The following is a 19,233-nucleotide window of genomic DNA, read 5'->3' on the forward strand; positions in this document are numbered from 1 at the left end:
ACACCAGAGCACCAACTTCTCTCACTTAAACCTTATGACAACCTTAAGAAGTAGGCAGCATGATCCCCTTCTTGGAAATGCAGAAAGAGAGAATGGGGGAGATTGAGAGGCTTGCAGAATGTGACATCATTAGGGAGAACAGTGGTTGAGGTGGGTATACAGGTCTGGCTCTTTCCTCTCCTCTCTATGACCAGTGAACTTAATGTAACCAGCATGTCCAGCCTGACTGTACTTCCTGGCCTCAAAGCCCAGGTTCCCAAGAAAGATCCACCCATCCCACATGAGCAACCTTTGCTCATCAGGGAGCTTTACCATCTCTAATGTTGTTTCCCTAATGTTTTTAAGAACTCATGTGATTCAAGATTGTATAAAAACGGTACTTTATCAAGACCATTGATTGAAGTGAAGAAAAACAGTGATCTCAAAGGAATGATAATTCCAGAGAACAAGTGTTAGAGGCTTAAGACCCAGGAAATCCCAAGGATTCCTGGAAATATTCCATTCAGAGTTTTAGATCAAAGGAGGCACAACCTGCCTCCCAATTCTCATTCATTCTCTCATATGGTGGAGTCCACCACTGTCTGTCCTTGGCATTTATTTGCAGAGCTCTTTGGAGTCACTGTGCCCAATTTGGTTGTGACCTGGTGGGCATTCACAGCTGATAGGAAGAAAAAAATGTGGTAATCTTAGCCATTTCCTGCTGTAAGAATTGTGTTTGGAAAATGACCTGCATTCTTAAGTCAAGAAAAAGTGAGACACAAGGTACAGCTGGAATGGGACACAGGACTGAGGGAGAGTCTGGCGGAACTGAAACCTGAATAGCTAGGAAGGTATGAGCGTGTTAAGGGAGTGTGTGTCAAGGGCATAGATGAGGTGACTGAGCTGAGAGATGACCTAGGAGAATCAGAGCAATGGTAAGAACTAGCACTGACCATCCCTACTCATGCTTTAACAAATAAAGCTTCAAGATGTTCTAGGATATTCTATCTGCTGGTTAGAAATACATCTTCAGAGTCAGAGCTTTAGTTTTTTCCACTATTATAAGGAAATTTCTGTACATGTGAGCTTCATGTAATATTGGTATTGACAATGATGATGATGATTATAGCTACTGTCTTAGTCCATTCAGGTTGCTACATAACAAAATAATATAGACTTGGTGACTTACAAACAACAGAAATTGATTTCTCACAGTTCTAGGGGATGGGAAGTCCAAGATTAAGGTCTCAGCAGATTTGGGGTCTGGTGAGGGCTGCTTCCTCCTAGACAGTGGTCTTCTTACTCCAACCTCACTGGGTGGAAGGGGTGGAATGTTTCTCTGGAGTCTCTTTTATAAGGGAACTAATCTCATTCATGAGTGCTCTGCCCCCGTGACCCATCACCTCCCAAAGGCTCCATATCCTAATATCATCCCTGGAGAGGTGAAGATTTCAACATTTTACATTCGTCACTTCTAATCTTTAGAACGAAGTAAATATTAGAATCTCTGTCTCAAAGACATGGACACAAGTCTGCAGAAGTGAAACTCTTTCCCTGAAGTGACAGCAATGGAGTGGATGCGGGTCCACGTTGTTCAGGCTCCAAAGTCCAGCTGTTTCCATGATGCCAGGCTGCTTCCTAATTAGTATATTTAGGAGATAACTGTATTTTAGAGATAAAGACCTGAGATTTGGAGAGGGGAAGAAAAGAAGAAAACATTTTCACCTCCTCTCCAGGAACCAGGGCCCGTCATCCCCTCAACCTCTTAAACTCGTGCTTTTTCCAAACTGAGTCCCTGGTGACCATTTTTTGCCTCTCCCTGAAAAGCAAGCCCAGTTCATTTCTTCAGGAGATGACACTGTGTCAGATATTTCCCCTTGTGATGATTATTTCTGGAAGAACCAGATGGGAAAGCTTGGGAAACATTCTAATTAGAAAGAGTCTTTCATTTCCATCCGGTTTCTATTTCCCTTCCAGCCCCGATCCCCATCCCATGCACACATTGGCACGTTCTGAGCACTTCTTTGTATTTCAGGTCGATATGTGCCTACCCTGGCAGCTGATCACACAGGCAGACTGCTTTTGAAGTAAATGGAAAGACTGCCCAAACAGACAAGAGTACTGAGCCACGGGGAGTTTGAATGCCCTGTTCTGTGTCAAGCCCAGACGGCCGGTTCTCTTATTCATGGTTACTGAAGCTCTTTATGCTAAAGAGTGCTGGGCAGTGAGAGACAGGGTCCTTTAGCCAGGCAGGGCTCAGGTTCCACACCATGAAGTGAGTGGGAAGCTGCGGTAGATGCCATTTGAGTGTGAGGAGTGAGGTGTGGGGTGGCTGTGCTCTAAGCCACCCAGGCAGGAGCCAGGGGCTGTACCTCCTCCCCTTAACCTCTCATTGCTCCTCAGTGAGGTCATCCTCACAGTGTTGTGCATTTACTGGAAGCAGCCTTCACAAAACCTTGATTAGATGAATAGGAATTACTTCTAAGAGCACATTTTCTAAGTAGTCAGCTCATGTCTGTTGACCTTGGCAATGGCTGCAGTTGTATCTAGTGCCCCTGTGAGACAAGCAGTTCCCATTGGCTGCTCGATTTAATACTCCCCGGGCTACAGCGATGAAGTAACTGAGGCCTGAGAGCTGAAGCAACTTGCCCAAGGTCACTAACAAGAGGCAAAGCCAGTTCTTGAACCTTTTTTGTCCTAACTCCAACCTGGGGCTCTGAAGTCCTGCCGCTCCACTGGAAGGGCCCTCAGTGCCGTCTATGCCCAGGGCGGGGCACTCAGGTTGGGTGGGGATGCAGCCACCCTGAGTGGGCCCGTGATCTGCTTCACCTCTGCCTGGCAGAACTGGAGGTATGGACAACCTTGGCAGGGTATGAGTGGGATAGGAGCACATGTGCTCAGCTCACATGCTCTATGCCTTTCAGAAGCAAATCTCGCAATAGTGGAAGGATGGCCTTATTTATCTTAAAAAGTCACACCAAGTAGATGAAGTGTGACACGTAGTGGGAGGAAAGCAACAATTAAAAGTACAACCATGGCTGGGCACAGTGGTTCATATCTATCATCCCCACACTCTGGGAGGCCAACGTAGATGGATCACTTGAGTCCAGGAGTTTGAGATCAGCCTGGCTGGCCGACATGATAAAACCCCATCTCTACAAAAACAAAACAAAACAAAACAAAACAAAAATTAGCATTAGCCACGTGTGGTGGAGCATGCCTATAGTCCCAGCTATTTGGGAGGCTGAGATGAGAGGACTGCTTGAGCCTGGAAGTTCCAGGCTGCAGCAAGCTGTAATTGCACCACTGCAATCCAGCCTGGATGACAGGAGACCCTGTCTCAAAACACACACAAAAAAATAAAAAAAGCAACTGTTTGAAGCATAAGGCTTTTCTTTAGGTCTTCTTGATGGCAAATGACTGCTTATTCCCTTGAGCACATACATGCAGTTGAGCTTGTTTTTCAACCTGTCTTCCTTCCCCTCTAGTGAAAAAGCCGTGTAAGTAGGAGAGGAAAGGGTCCTTCCTCTCTGGGAAATGCACCCATCAGAGTGCCATAGAACCAAGAGTTCTACCCTTACAGATTGATTTTTCTGGGTTAAGCATTGTCTTGGGGGGTAAGAGCAAATTCTCCTTTAAAATATTAGCTACTCTGGGAGGAGAAAACCCTCTATCCCTAATATCATGCTTCAAGTGGTTTTCTGAGACTGCTTCCTCCTATACTGCCAGGTCCAGCAGCTCCTGCAGATGGGTGGTGGTGGAAGGAGGAGAGAATGGGCCACAGGCAGGCCAAGGGCAAGCTTAGCAGCACTCAACATCCTCCATGAACTCAACAGAAGTCAAGAATGCAGGCAGCTCATGATGAAGACCTGCAGCGGCCCAGGTTTACCAAGCTCATTCACAATTGCAGTTGGAGAATTCGTCTTTGGTCATTTTCTACTTTGGAAATACGGTAAATAATGTAACAATGTTTTTAAGAACAAGCTTCATCCCTTCCAGGTCCTTTTTATAGCAAACATTTGCATCTAAAGGAAATATACTTGTGTGTGTACACACGTGACTGTGCTGTTTGTTTTCCATCCCGCCATAGGAAAAAAACAGTTCACATGCTTTAAAAAAGTCATCCAAGCAGAAAATTGGGAAGAGCAGCAGCTGTGAGAAGAGATGTGTGCAGGGGTTACAAATGATTTCTCATTAACTCCAGACGCTCTTGTTCCTGGTCACCACAGCCCCATCTGAGAGGCAGATGTGACAGCGCTGGCAGTGACAATGACAGAGGAAGAGATGGGAGGGAGAAACGGTTAGCTTATTTGTTTTAAAAGAAGCTGCTCAAATGTTTTGAGTTCTTCCATGCCTCGTGAGTCACAAACCCACAGAATGGGCAGGGCTTGGCTTGAAATTGAGGACGGCCTGCCTCTGCCATTTCCTGAGCGGGTGATCTTAGGCAAGTCACTTGGACTCTCTAATGCTCATTTTCTCACTAATAAAATGATGATGATAATACAGTCTGCTTTACAGAACGGAAGCAAGAACTAAGGGAGATAGTATGTAAGAAAGCAATTTATAGAATGGAGATTACTATGTACAAGGGAGTTATTTTTCTGAACAAATGGCTTGACTCAAGGTCACTAAATATCCATGACAACATGCCCTTTAGGGTAATTCTGAGTAACATGAATCTTAAAGGATAATTAGGAATTGGGCAGTTAAAGAGTAGGAGAGAGAGCAGTTAGCTTTTGCATGAGCAAAACACACACACAAAGAAACCATGAGGCGTGTAATCTGCAGGGCAGGCTGGGGCATGCAGACTTGAGGGGTGGTGGGTGAGCAGGGGTGGGCAGATGAGCACCCAGGTGGTTTTGCTCAGTAGCAACTAAGTCTGAAGCAGACAGTGGCAGAAGCCTGATCCTAGAGGCATTATATACCTTCTCAGGAAGCTTGAATTTTATACCCTAGAATGATGTTGTATCTATTATGTTCAGTGAAACTTTAACAAACATATCTTTTAAAAAAAGTTTCTTTAGTCAAGCAAGTTCTAGAATGGTGATGTAAATAGTTAACCGTTTCTCTACTGCAGGACTAGTTGGAGGCTTTAGTATGCTAACATGAACCACAAATCTTCAAGAAGGAAGTACTCTGGGATGTTTCTTCAAGACCTTTGAGCACAGGACTTTTCTTTTTTTTTTTTTTTTGAGACAGCGTCTCACTCTGTTGCCCAGACTGGAGTGCAGTGGAGCAATCATCACTCACTGCAGCCTCGAACTCCTGGGCTCAAGCGATCCCCCCCACCTCAGCCTCCTGAGTAGTTGAGACCACAGACATGTGCCATCACACCCAGTTCATTTTTTTAAAGAAGTGTTTTTGTAGAGACAGAGTCTCTTTCTATTGCCTAGGATGGTCTTGAACTCCTGGGCTCAAGCAATGCCCCTGCCTGGACCTCCCGAGGTGCTGGGATTACGGGTGTGAGCCCCCAGGCCTGGCCAGCACCTTTTGTTGGTCCTCACTCCCTCTTGCCCTCCCACTGCTCCAGGATTTCCATGTTCTTACTCCACAAACTGGGGAACGCTAGGACCACGAGGGGCCATCAGTGAGCTCACTACAAGTCTGTGCTCGTAAACGCCACTGTGGTTTCGCCAGCTTTTCCTGATTTCCCATGCGCCTGCCAAAGACACCCTTCCCCAGCTCCTCTTCACACAGTCTACTGCTTCTTCCTCTCCATGGATGAACTCACCACTTCCGCTGTAGAAAGGGTGACATCCAAGCTGTGGGCCAGCCTTCTGCTCCACTCCAACACATCTACATCTACAGACTCTGTCTTTGCCAGTCCCTGAGATGTTGGTCCTCCTTTCTAAAGTGAAAGCCATATTCTAGTCTAAGATGAGAATAAGTGTCAGAGAAGTGAAACTACCTGTTCAAGGTTGGAGAGTTAGTAAGAGGCAGAGCTTTGGCTAGCATTCAAGTCCCCTGAAACCTGGATGAGGACCCCTTTCCTTGGCTCGTCACTATCTGTATCTTCCATTCTGTAGTCTTAATCCAAGAGGTTCAAGTACATGACAGATGAATGTCATTAACACATTTTTAAAATACTGGCATAAAATCACTTAAACACATTGTGAATGCCTATTGGCTTTAATCTGTCAAGTTTCTTTTACTTGAATTATTTTTTTCCTTTCTTTTCATTACACTATTTCTTTTTGTTTGTTTGTTTTGTTTTGAGGCAGGGCCTTGCTCTGTTGTCCAGGCTGGAGTGCAGTGGCATGATCATGGCTCACTGCAGCCTCAACCTGCCAGGCTCAAGCAATCCTTCTACCTCAGTCTCCCAAGTAGCTAGGACCACGGGTGTGTGCTACTACATCCAGCTAATTTTTTTTTAAATTTCTTGGTAGAGAAGGAGTCTTTCTGTGTTGCCCAGGCTAGCCTGGAACTCCTGGGCTCAAACAATCCTGCTTCAGCCTCTCAAAGTGCTGAGATTATAGGCGTGAGCCATCACACCCAGCCTGCACTCTTCCTTCAAGACAAATCACTCCAGTCCTAGAACTACCTAGGGAATAATATAAAACCTTCTGTACTAACAGTGAAAACTGAAGTTAATGAAATTCAGCTGCCTTTCACAGTAGTTTCCATTTTGTTTCCCTACATTTTCTCTGAGTTTCTACTGTGCTGGGGATGCCAACTGAGGGTGGGTGACAGTTGTGCTGGGTGACAATCAGGGAGGCTCCCCAGCTGCAGAGCCTCTGAAGCAGGTACCTGAGTTGCAAGGGCATTTCAGCAGGTAGCGGACCCACTTTCACCCCTGTTATCTCTTCATGCATTGCTGACATGGAACCAAATGCATCCACTGGTTTGCGCCACTGAAAATGTTTGGATTTAGAGACAGCATCTGAAAAAACGTCTCTCTAAAGCCCTTTGCTTTAAAGAAGGCCTCTTGGCATAAAGTCAACACCTTTCTTTCTCCATTGCCTATTTCTCCTGGTGTTTAGAGTAAAACTCTTCTTTGCCTCTTTCTTTTTTTCCTGAGTACTTTCGGTAGAATTAGTTTTTGTTTGGTTTGTGTTAAACCCATCTTTAAAACCTGTACGGCTATTTTCTAAGTTTTCAAAACTCATCCACTACTTTAATCACATTTTCCAGGCACTATTTCAGTCCAGATAATTTGAAGGCACCAGGCTTCAGAACTCAGAGCTGGCACACACATGACCTGAGAAGAGGGCTTGCTCACCAAGTTTACAGCAATCAGATTTGGAAGGAGTGAATGGTTGATTGTGTTTAAAAATAGTCAGTTGAATATGGGAGGCTTTTTCCAGTTACTGTGGAGAGAGGCTTTTAGGCCTGATTAGCCCCCAAACCACAAACTATAAATGCTTTATAGCTTGTGGGAATACATATATTCTGAGATAACCTGGGACATTCATTCCAAAGCTATAATAATATGGACACAACAAACCTCAGGCTGAATTATTAAATGAAGTCTAATAATGTTAATTATTAATAAAATATTACTATATATAACTTTTATAGTTATATATAGTACTACTTTTATATAATCTACACTTTTATATAATCCTTTTTCCTTCTCAGAGTATATATATCTGCTGAATCATTTTATTTTTCCAGAGCCTTGCCTCCAGTTTTTTTTTTTTTTTTTTTTTTGCTTGTTTATTTTTGAGACAAAGTCTCCCTTACTCTGTCACTGAGGCTGGAGGGCAGTGGTGTGATCTTGGCTCACTAGAACCTCCTCCTCCCAGGCTCAAGTGACTCTCCTGCCTCAGCCTCCTGAGTGGCTGGGATTACAGGTGTGCACCACCATGCCCAGCTAAATTTTGTATTTTCAGGAGAGACAGGGTTTCACCATGTTGGCCAGGCTGGTCTCAAACTCTTGACCTCAAGTGTACTGCCTTCCTTGGCCTCCCAAAGTGCTGGGATTACAGGTATGAGCCATCGTGCCCAGCCACCTCCAATTTCTTTCTAATGTAATCTATCCCTTATATTGTTGCGAGGGATATTTGTCCATAACACAGATACAAGCAATTTGGTTTTTTTGGCTCAAAATATTTCATGTTTCTCTATATCCATTAAGTCTGAACTCTCCACTATGACATTCGGTACTCCCCACAATCTGGCCTCTCACTTTCTAGCTTTCTGTGCCTCTAGTAACACTTTACCATTTCAGCTACCTCCCTCTCAATAACGAACATCAGCAAATATTTATTAAGCATCTATATTACATGCCTTGAACTTTGCTAAGTGTCAGGTTAATGTTGGTGAATAAAAGAGTTATGTCTCCAGGTCTTGTGTAGCTTTCCATCGAGTCACTAAGGGAGAAGATAATATAATTAAAAAACAAACCAATTCATACCAATTCATTGTGAGAAGTGTCACGAAGCAGATGCCGTAACGGAGAATCACAGGGGAAAGGCACTTCACTAGGAATCAAGGAGGACTTCCCTAAAAAGATTACAAGGTGAAACATGGACCGTACATTCCAGGCAGAGGGACTAGCATGTGTGAAGTCTCTGATTCAGACCTGTCTGCAAGGTGGGCTATGTAAAGTGAATATTCACAGCAGAGGACAGTATGACGGGAACATCTCGGGGCAAGGGGCGTTATGTAGCCTACCACAGGCACTGACTAGAAAACTCACTGTTAGATTTGGCATCCTGGGGTACATTGGGTTGAGAAATACAATTTTGGCAGAAAACAGTTTGGCATTGGCTGAGGAATGAATGAGAAACCAAGGAATGAGAAACCAAGGAATAGAAGGATCATAGACAATCCTTTAGAGAAGTTCTGCTTTGATAGGTGATAGCTTAAGGGGTTTGGGGAGGGAGATACTAGAATGTGTGTCTATGCCAAGACTGATTGAGTAAAGAGAGGGAGATTGATTCTGCAGGAGAACTGGAAGTTGAGCTTACCAGAGAAGTAGAAGACCACTGACAAGCAATTGAGAGCTCATTCGAAGTCTAAAGTCATTAATTTGGAATGAAAGAAATAATATAACTTTCTGCAGTTGTGCTCATGCACAGAGAAAGAAGGCTGAGTTTATCCATGAAGCTATGGAAGATAAAGGAATTTATGGTCTTCGTAAAAAGTAACTAGAATGGTGGAATATGGAATTGAAACTAGCCAAGAAAGGAGGCATTTATGAGGATATCGATGAACAGTGAGAAAGTGAGAGAATGGATGGAGTGGAGGCCGTGAAGAAACTGAAGGACTTTTCTAGTAGGGATACTTGAACAAATAAACTAGAAGGTTATGGAATGGCCCAAGAGCTTGATGTTGGCCTTCAAGATTTTAGAGGTTGTACAATGGTCCAGTGGGCAACTATTGGAGTGTGTGACTGAAGTAGACAGAAATAAAAGATCCCTAGAGATAAGGAGGTGAAGAAGCTGAGATGCCAGGGGACTGAAATGGCCTTTCCTGGGAATGCTGAGGTTACAAAGAGTGATGACAGAATTTGGGGTGGAGAGGAAGACAGGGAACCAGAAACTAAAATCTTCAGTGAATAAAGAGGAGTGGTGGGGAGACGGTGGGAACAAAGGAGACGGTGTATCCAAGTCACACAAACCCAAAAGGGCAAAGTTTCTGCAGGAAAAGGGGGACAATGGTCTGGTGGTGACAGAGGAAAGGAAGGAAAACACCCACCTTACATGGTTACTTGGAGTATGGGAAATAAAACAGCCTTTGGTGGCCATGGGAGAAGTGGTTTCAGAAAACCACCGCATTTCAGAATGGAGATGAAGAGAATGTTACAAGGGGAGGCTGTGAGATGGAAACATTTTATGGTGGAAGAGAAGGAGAACTTGGTCGAAGAGGAGTAAACAGAGATGTGTGAGAGTGAGAGCTCTGTTGACAGTGGATGATGGGATGCTGGGACCTCTTCCATGGTTGAGGCAAACGGAGATTTGTACAGTGAGATTTGGCTTGATGGCCTCTTACAGGAGTCTTGGTTCTGGTGGTCTGGGACCACAGTCCTGCCCATGTGGCCCAGGGTGGCAGCTCCCCTGGGACACCCTGCATGAACGTCTTCCTGCTGGATCCGTGGCCTCGCAGACCTCCAACACATTCTAGATTTTCCCCTTTCTGAGCTTGGCCCCCAGTGCTCCTCCATGTAAGATGCTCTTACCTGCTAGTGATACCTAACTTAGTCTCATCTGTCTTTAATGCCTGACATGAATGTCACTCTTTCTGCAACATCCTGCAAGATCCTTTCAATCAAGAGACCACTGCTCCCGCTTCTGAATTTATGTAAGTGGAGTGGGATATGCAATTCAAAATGGGATGTTTTAAGACATTTTTTTCCCTCTTCAGAAAACTTTTTTTATGTGCATTTTTGAGGCAGGAGGTATATGCTGAAGGGAGGTCCCTGTAGTTCTAAGGACCCCCAAACCTCCCTTCCAGGAAGGCTAAACAGGATTTGTGTTGTATTGCCAAGGGTTTGGGCTCTAATTTTTGTCTTTCTTTTCTTTCTCTTTCTTTCTTTCTTTCTTTCTTTCTTTCTTTCTTTCTTTCTTTCTTTCTTTCTTTCTTTCTTTCTTCCTTCCTTTTCCTTCCTTCTTTCCTTCTTTCTTTCTTTTCTTTCTTTCTTCTTTCTTTCTTTCTTTCTTTCTTTCTTTCTTTCTTTCTTTCTTTCTTCCTTTTCCTTCCTTCTTTCCTTCTTTCTTTCTTTTCTTTCTTCTTTCTTTCTTTCTTTCTTTCTTTCTTTCTTTCTTTCTTCCTTTCTTCTTTCTTTCTCTTTTCCTTCCTTCCTTCCTCTTTCTTTCTTTCTTTCTTTCTTTCTTTCTTTCTTTCTTTCCTTCTCTCTCTCTCTCTCTCTTTCTTTCTTTCTTTCTTTCCTTCTTTCTTTCGGGTCTTGCTCTATTGCTCAGGCTGGAGTGCTGTGGTGCAATCACAGCTCACAGCCTTGAACTCCTGGGCTTACGTGATCCTCCTGCCTCGGCCTCAAAGCAGGGGGCTGTTGTTTGAGAGACCCCTGAATTCCTGATTAGGAAAGAGACAGAGAATGAGGCTTTGGTGAAGGAAGGCTAAATAGGGTGTGGGTAGAAGCTGTTTGCGGGGAATCTGAGAAGACTACAGGAAATCGGCAGAAGGGATCTGAGCTTGGAATGTTCAGACGCCAGGGGCCATCCAGGAGGCCATAGAAGCCCATTCTTAGAAAGTTCTAGGGTGAGGGAAAAGAAGCAGGGACTGTACAAAACCAGAACCCAGATCCAAGGCCTGACTGTAGTCTTCTCCTGAGTGAACGTCACTCATCTGTACCAGAGCCCTCACCTGTCCACAGATAGTGCCTTACAAGAGTTGCAGTTTCTGGCTCAGTTGCTTTCCAGTCCCTAGCAAGGAGCCTTGTGCATATGTGGTAGATGCTCAAATAAGTTTATTGAATTAACGGACTATCTTCTGAGATAAGCAAATGTGTTAGTCCATCCTTGCATTGCTCTAAAGAAATAACTGAGACTGGGTAATATATAAAGAAAAGAGGTTTGATTGGCTCATGGTTCTGTGGGCTGTATGGGAAGCATAGTGGCTTCTGCTTGGCTTCTGGGGAGGCCGCAGGAGACTTACAATTATGTTGGAAGATGAAGCGGGAGCAGGCACCTCACACAGGGAAAGCAGGAGCCAGGCAGGGGGAAGTGCCACACATTTTTAAACGACCAGATCTCACAAAGACTCACTATCCTGAGAACAGCACCAAGGGAAGTGGCGCTAAACCATTCGTGAGAAATATGCCCCGGGATCCAGTCACTCCCCACCAGGCCCCACCTCCAACATTAGGGATAATATTTCGATTGGAGATTTGGGCGGGGACACACACCCAGACTATATCAGTAGGTTAATCACCTCAACCTTGTTATACTTTAGAATCTCCAGGACTAACTTCATACATTACTCCTGGAGATTCTGAAGTACAACAAGGTTAAGGTGATTTCTTTGTATTTACTTAAAAAGCAACTGACAGAGGAAGTAAGAATTCAGGCTACTTCATGTATGGGTATCTTTGCCATTTGTTTTAGCCTCAGCTGTGCATCTCCCCTGAAGGAACAGAATGAGAGTCTGCCACTAAGGTGACAACTTGCAGAAAAGAAAGGCAAGATTCTATGAATCCATAGTAACATTTTCCCTTTGCAAAGAGCTTGCATAAACAAGGCCATTTAAAAATAGTCTTCTGATATGAACTCTACAATAACCATAGTGTACAAAAATTGGAGTCCATATGGACGCAACCTGGGAGACAATATGCAAAAATTAAAGTCGTTGTAGAGTTAGGTTGAGACGATGAGTAATGGCCCCTGACCTTTCTTCAATCACTAGCTCACTATTTTTATATTACATTTTCAATACAAATGCTTCAGAAAATTCTCCACTTTAGAATAAGACACCTTGTTATATAAAGTCATCATAATAACTTTATAATAATAGCATTCATTTAATTGCTATTAAAAAGAATCACAGATAAAAAGTATTTTCTCAGCTCTGCTCCTGGAACACAGAAAGAATGCTCTTTAGGGTAGAGCAGCATCAGAAGCCCTCCCATGGTGGGGGACATTCCAGTTGGCATCCAAAAGACCCTAAGTATTAACAGGGGGACTTTAGGGTTGAATGCCACAGCTGCAGGTGCCTTTTGTCAAAATGCAGTGAGTAGGAAGCTGAAGAAATGACTAAGGAGCAGAACTGTGGAAGATGGGAGGGAGGTGAAGTCTGTGATATTAGTTTCAGATCATCGTCATCAAACCCTACCCACTGCCAGTCTCCCCGTGCCCAGTGCTCATCAGCTGTCACCCTGATACCTCCAGCTGGCAGTTCCTGAGTAAATTCTGAGTACAGCAGATGAGATCTCAGGACACTCAGATCCATCAGTTGCATGACCTTGAATTAGACTTGCCGCTGTAGGCTGCAAGGTTTGGAGGGCCTGAGGCATCATGTCCCCCACATCAGAGCCTTCTCCTGAGTGCTGCACGTAGAAGAAGTTTATTCAAAGTTAAGCCTGATCAAATTAACTTCTGCTCTTAGAAGTCAGGTTAGTGGTTTCCTTGAGGATGGATGGGTGGCAGAAGAAAGAAAGAATTCCTGGAGTGGTAGTAAGTTTCTCTTTCTTGATCAGGGTGTTACTTGCGTATGTTCACTTTTTGCAAATTCATTAAGCTGTTGTACATTTATTCTATGTACATTTTTTCTTTAATGTGTTATAATTTAATAAAAAGTTAAAGGAAGAAGAGAGGAGAGAGAGGGAGAGAAGAAGAAAGGAGGGGAAGAAGGAAGGAAGAAAGAGAAGCTCGATGATAAAACTAGATCGAGGAGCTTGAGCCTGATTCTATACGCAACTGAGTGCCACTCTAGGTTGTTTAGTCGAGTATGACATGATAGTTGCATTATTATAGGAAGATTAATTTTACCGTGGAGAGCAGTTGAAATGGGATGAAACTGAAGGCAAGAAAATGAGGGAAGAGTTACAGTGACCTAAGTCTGCATGATGAGGGCTGAGACTAGACTGGGAGGATGGTGATGATAGTTAGAAGGGTAGTGAGGGACATTCACCACATAAAGAGACAGTTTTCAGATAAGCTATTACATAAGTGAGCCGACATTCAGCACACACTACAGGTTGTTTACATATATAATATTTAATATCGTGTTGCACACTCACTTTGCTTAAATTGTAATAAGAAATCTTGCTGTTATCAGTTGGCATAGGACAACTCACATAGACTCAAGTCCATGGCTGAGGGCTACAGCTCTGGGTCTAACTAGTCTCTATTCTCAGATATGGACCATTTGTCAGGAGGCAAGAGCAAGGGCCTAGGAGTGACTCTAGCACAGACTAACCAACTGATTGGCAACAAGAGCCTTGCTTTTTTGCTTTGTTACGGTTTGGTTTGGTTTTAATGCATCAGGATAATACTGGTGTCAAATGCTTAGCTTGCCAGATCAAACTACTACACTTTCTGGGAGCTGTTCAAAAGATTAATACAATGGCTATATGTTTGAGATTAAAGAGGTAATTGCTTTCTGCAGCCTATAAAGAAGATTTTAAGAGACGAGATCGAACAGATTGATGCGTATCCTTCTGCAAAACAATATGAAAAATATATTGGCACAGGGCCCTTAGTACAACTTAGATTTATGCAAAACTTTCATTTTTCACAATCCAAAATTAACAAACTCAGAATGACACAAATGTGTTGAAATGCAATGCAAACTAAACATTTTAGTACATCGTCCTATAGTTCAACAGAATGTTGATATTTAAATTCACAATTAGGCACCTCATTTAATTTCTGCATGATGATCCAATGGGCAGAAAAAGATGAATTGCTGACACACTGACTTTTTTTGAACTCCCAAAAGGGAAACAAAAGTTTGCAGTCAGAGACGAGTGAGGAGTTCATCTGGTTCATTAGTTGGCATAAATCTGTAATTATGTACAAAAATAATTTGTATGTACTGTGCTAACTGTATGATTATTATTATTTAGCTTTGCTCTGATGCCAATCATTGAAACATAATCCAATTTTATTAAGTTCCTCAGAGCCTTGGAGAATGTTAGTTACAAGCCCGTTCTCTGCTCATTAGCGCTGACCTTTATGGTTTGTTTATTTGGAATTTTTAAAAAGTTTTTTTGGCCTCCTGCCCCTAAGTTAACTCGCCTTTGTTTAATAATCTATACTGTCATTACACCCTCTTGACCCAGAAGAGAAGCAGATGAATGGGAGTACTGATGCCAGCTTTACAGCTTCTGCACACAGGCAATGTGCCTGAATTCCTATCATTTGTCTCTGATTTCTTTTGAAACAAAGGGATCGAAGAGAAAGAGAAGAACAGGTATTCAAGGTCTTTATGGACTCATAATTAAGCACTGTTATATAATGTGATTAAATAGCACAGGGCATATAGTAAGTCCAATGTCAATATCATTTATTATCATTGTTGTTGATGGTGTTGTCTCTTCATATTTTTGAGCACCTCCACTTCAGTCTTGTGCCCCATCTTGAGGCTTTGTTCAAAGGTCTTGTACCCCCAAATCTAAGTCCTACCCAACAGAGCAGCTGTTTTCTTTCTACCCTCTTCAAAAGGAACAAGAAAATGATCAGACAAAATGATCAGCCAGATGGGTGGAGCTAAGTGAAGACACGCTAAAAGGGAAGAACACTTCAGCCTGCAAGATGTCCAAACAGTATCATGTTCAAAATCTATCAAATCTGAATGGCATGTGTAAGCTGAATATGGGTAGTCCCTAAATCTACAGGTATTCAGATGACAAGTGGACTCTGAAGTTTAATGATTGAGAGCTTAAGACAAAATGAATTTTTTATTTCACATAGTAGGTAATAAACTTAATAAATTAATTACTGAAATGGTCAGGTAGGAAATATACCTTTTTTTAATTAAAAAAAATTTTTAGAGATAAGGTCTTACTCTGTGGCCAAGTCTGGAGTACAGTGGCATGATCATCGTTCACTACAACCTCAAGCTTCTGGGCTCAAGCAATCCTCCTGCCTCAGCCTCTCGAGTAGCTGGGACTACAAGCATGAACTACCACACCTGGCTAATTAAAATTTTTTTACTAGAAACAGGGTCTTGCTATGTTGCCAAGGCTGGTCCTCGAACTCTTGGCCTCAAGCAATCCTCCTGCCTCAGCCTCCCAAACTGTTGGGATTACAGGCATGAGCCACAGTGCCCACAGGAAATATAATTGAATTATAAAAAGGTCAGGAACATTTAACAATCATTATCTAAGTATCTATTATGAAATGATGCAAACTACTAGCCAGGGATGGTGACATGTCCCTATGGTTTCAGCTACTCAGGAGGCTGAGGCTGGAGGATCACTTGAAGCCAGGAGTTCGAAACCAGCCTGGGCAACACAGCAAGAGCCCATCTCTACAAAAAATACAAAAATCAGCCAGGCATGGTAGTGTGCGCCTACGGGCTCAGTTACTTGGGAAGCTGAGGTGGGACGACTGCTTGAGCCCAGGAGGTTGAGGCTGCAGTGAGCTATGATTGTACCACTGCACTCCAACTTGGGCAACAAAGCAAGAAAGTGAGACATTACCTCAAATTAAAAAAAAAAAACTACCTAAAAATTTGGGAAATGATTATATTTTAAATAATTATATTATATTTAAAAGAATATATTTTAAAAGAAAAAACTTAAAATTAAATGTATATCACAAATACAGTAATACAAAAATATGGAAGCTTGCAACAAAAGAATTTATTAAAATGAAAGTAATTCTGGTAGGATTGGGGGCAGTTTTCTTCACTCAAAGAGTTATTTAATATGATTTTGCTTTAAATTAACATTTTTCCATTTTACCTTTTTCTATGCTTTTATTTCGACCTTTTGATGTTATGTTTTAGGTGTGTCTCATAAATAGCGTATAGCTGGAATTGTTTCCTCAGTGGTGACAATCTCCCTCTCTCATGGTTTACTTTGCTTTTAACTTGTAAAATGATATAATTTACATTCATTGTGCTTATTGATATAGTTAGACTTGTTTATAACACATTAACTGATTATTTTCATTTGTCCTACTTTTTCCGCGCCTCTTTTGTCATCTTCCTTGCATTTAAAAAAAATTTAACAAGGTTTTTATTTATTTATTTTTATCCCCTGGCTTCTTTTTTTTTCTTTTGGTTTGGAAGCTAAATATTCTATTGTTATTCTTCTGTCACTTTCCTTGAAATTTAAGTTAAAAAAGCCCAAGTGTAATCAATATCTTAGTCTTTTTCTCAAACTAAAATAACCTTGGAATACCTTATTCCACAATTAGACATCATAATTTTTATTATAAACAACATGCTTTCTTTTTTGTTTTTTTAAGAGATGAGGTCTCACTCTGTTGCCCAGGTTAGAGGGCAGTGGTGGAGGGTCTTGCAGCTGCGGTTGCTCACTGCAACTTCAGCCTCCAACTCCCGGGCTGAAACAGTCCTCCAGCCTCAGCCTCCTGAGTAGCTAGAACTACAGGCATGAATCACCAAACCTGGCTAATTTTTTAAATTCTGTAGAGATGGGGTCTCACTACATTGCCCACACTGGTTTTGAACTCCTGGGCTCAAGCAATTCTGCTACCTTTGCCTCCTAAACTGCTGGGATTTACAGGCATGAGCCACCATGGCTTGGCCAATAAACTACATATTTTCTAATATATTTGCTCACCATTCCTTCTTGTGTATCATACAATCCTTCTGAAATCATTTCCCTTTATCTTGAAGTAGAGTCTTCAGAAGTTTCTTCAGTAAAGGTCTGCTGGTGGCAACTTCCCCAGCCTTTCAGTATCTAAAACGGTTGTTGTTTTGCTCTCATTCTTGAAACAGTTTTTTCTGGGTTTTCATTCAGCTGTTGATGATATTGTTCCACAATATCTGACTTTGTCTTTTATTTTATAATATCTTATTGATGCATAACAGGTACACATCATTCTGGCTTCCTTTCTGTGTGTGTTGACATGTCTTCCATGTTTCATTGTCACACCTCTGTAAGTGGGCCACCTTTTTTCTTTGGCTGCTTTTAAGATCTTCTCTTTGCTTTTAATATTTTGCAATTTCACTAGGGCTTATCTAGGTACAGTTGTATTTTTATTGATCTTGTTTGCTAAGTTTCTGTACATATACGTTTTTCATCAGAAACCCATTTTGCTTTTCAGTCACCACCTCTCTTCCGTTCTTTCTATTCTCTACCTCTGTGGCTCTGATTGATAATATGTATGGTAGAAGTCATCATTCCATCCTCCATATTCCTTCCACATATTTCCTGTGTCTAGGCTGATGTAGTCTCTCTTCAGTTGCCATTAATTCACTATTGAATCTGTTCATTGAGTTTTTATTTTAACAATTATATTTCTCACTTTTTTTCTACTCTGTGCTTATCCAATCCCTCCCTCCCTCCCTCCCTTTTTTCCTTCCTTCCTTCCCTCCTTCCCTTTTTTCCCTCCTTCCTTCCTTCCTTCCTTCCTTCCTTCCTTCCTTCCTTCCCTCCCTCCCTCCCTCCCCCCCTCTCTCTCTTTCTCCCTTTCTCTCTTCCTTGTTTTTGGTTGTTGTTTTAGTTTGGGTTTTTGTTTGTTTGTTTGAGACAGGGTCTTCCTCTGTCACCCAGGCTGAAGTGCAGTGGCATGATCGTGGCTCACTGCAGCCTCAGCCTCCCAGACTCAAGCAATCCTCTCACCTCAGCCTCCTGGATAGCTGGGACTACAGGTGTAAGCCACTATGCCTGGCTAATTTTTGTATTTTTTGTAGAGATGAGGGTCTTCCCATGTTGCTCAGGCTGGTCTTGAACTCCTGGCCTCAAGGGATCTGCCCGCCTCGGCCTCCCAAAGTGCTGAGGTTACAGGCATAATCCACTGTGCCTGGCTGTATTTTTTCATTTTTGAAAGTTCCATTAGGCTCTTTTGTAAATCTACCTATCATTTGGTTTTTTGATCAAGTTGTTTATGATACCATTCTTTATTTCTACAAATACTTCCCACTTAATTATTTTATGTCCTTTAATAATTTTTAAAATCTGAACACCTTGGGGTCTAAGTCTGTTTACTTCCTTCTTATTCATCAATCTGACTTGTTTCTTTGTGTTTTTTGCTGATCTTTGATTGTGAACTCATATTTGCTTGATATTAATCCATGCAAATGATGCCGATTTCTAAAAAGAGAACTTGTGCCTGTTTTTGCTGCTACTGAAACGGGCGCTTTTAAAGTCCTCTTTGGAGTTCTCTGGTTTGCACCAGAATAGCAGGTTTAACTCACCCACCTGCTGCTGGCCTGACGCTTGAGCTCCTTATTGCAACGGCCTTTGCTCTCAGGTAAACACTCATGTCCCATTGCTGACTGTTCCCAGCTCCCGTTTCTGTTTTTACTTACTTTATAGTTGGGAGACAGAAGTGGGGACTAGAAGCTGTGGGGGTAAGAAAGTCCTTGAAGATTTCCTTTACCTCTCCTGAGTCCTGCAGTATATTAAAAGATGTAATTTGTATCAAAGGAGATTTTTTTTACATTTCTAAACTTCTTAAGCAATTAACATGGTGTTTGATACTGTACTTATTTAACAAATGAATAAGTAATTTTAAAAATGTATAAAAATAATAGCAATAACATTCATGGGGCATAGCCTTATGCCAGACCCTATGCCAGTTTTAATCTTCCCAACAATCTTACAAGGTCAATATAATTAATGTGATTTGTTTATTTTACAAATGGTAAATGGCTGTTATGACTTTAACCCAAATCTGTCTTGTTCCAAAGCCCATGCACATAATTGCTACGTATATT

General features: G+C 42.2%; 1 long non-coding RNA gene across 4 annotated transcripts in view; it reads left to right on the forward strand.

Moving 5' to 3' along the window:
- The window catches only part of LOC105379301 (uncharacterized), a 53,655-nt gene continuing 34,422 nt past the window's right edge, over nt 1–19,233 (forward strand). For all 4 annotated transcript variants that reach the window (NR_188132.1, NR_188134.1, NR_188133.1 and 1 more), the window contains exons 1-2: nt 1–150; nt 3,709–3,931. This is a non-coding gene — a long non-coding RNA (uncharacterized LOC105379301). The remainder of the gene's footprint in view (nt 151–3,708; nt 3,932–19,233) is intronic.

The sequence above is a fragment of the Homo sapiens genome, chromosome 8 (genome assembly GCF_000001405.40).
Source record: "Homo sapiens chromosome 8, GRCh38.p14 Primary Assembly".
NCBI classification, from domain to species: domain Eukaryota; kingdom Metazoa; phylum Chordata; class Mammalia; order Primates; family Hominidae; genus Homo; species Homo sapiens.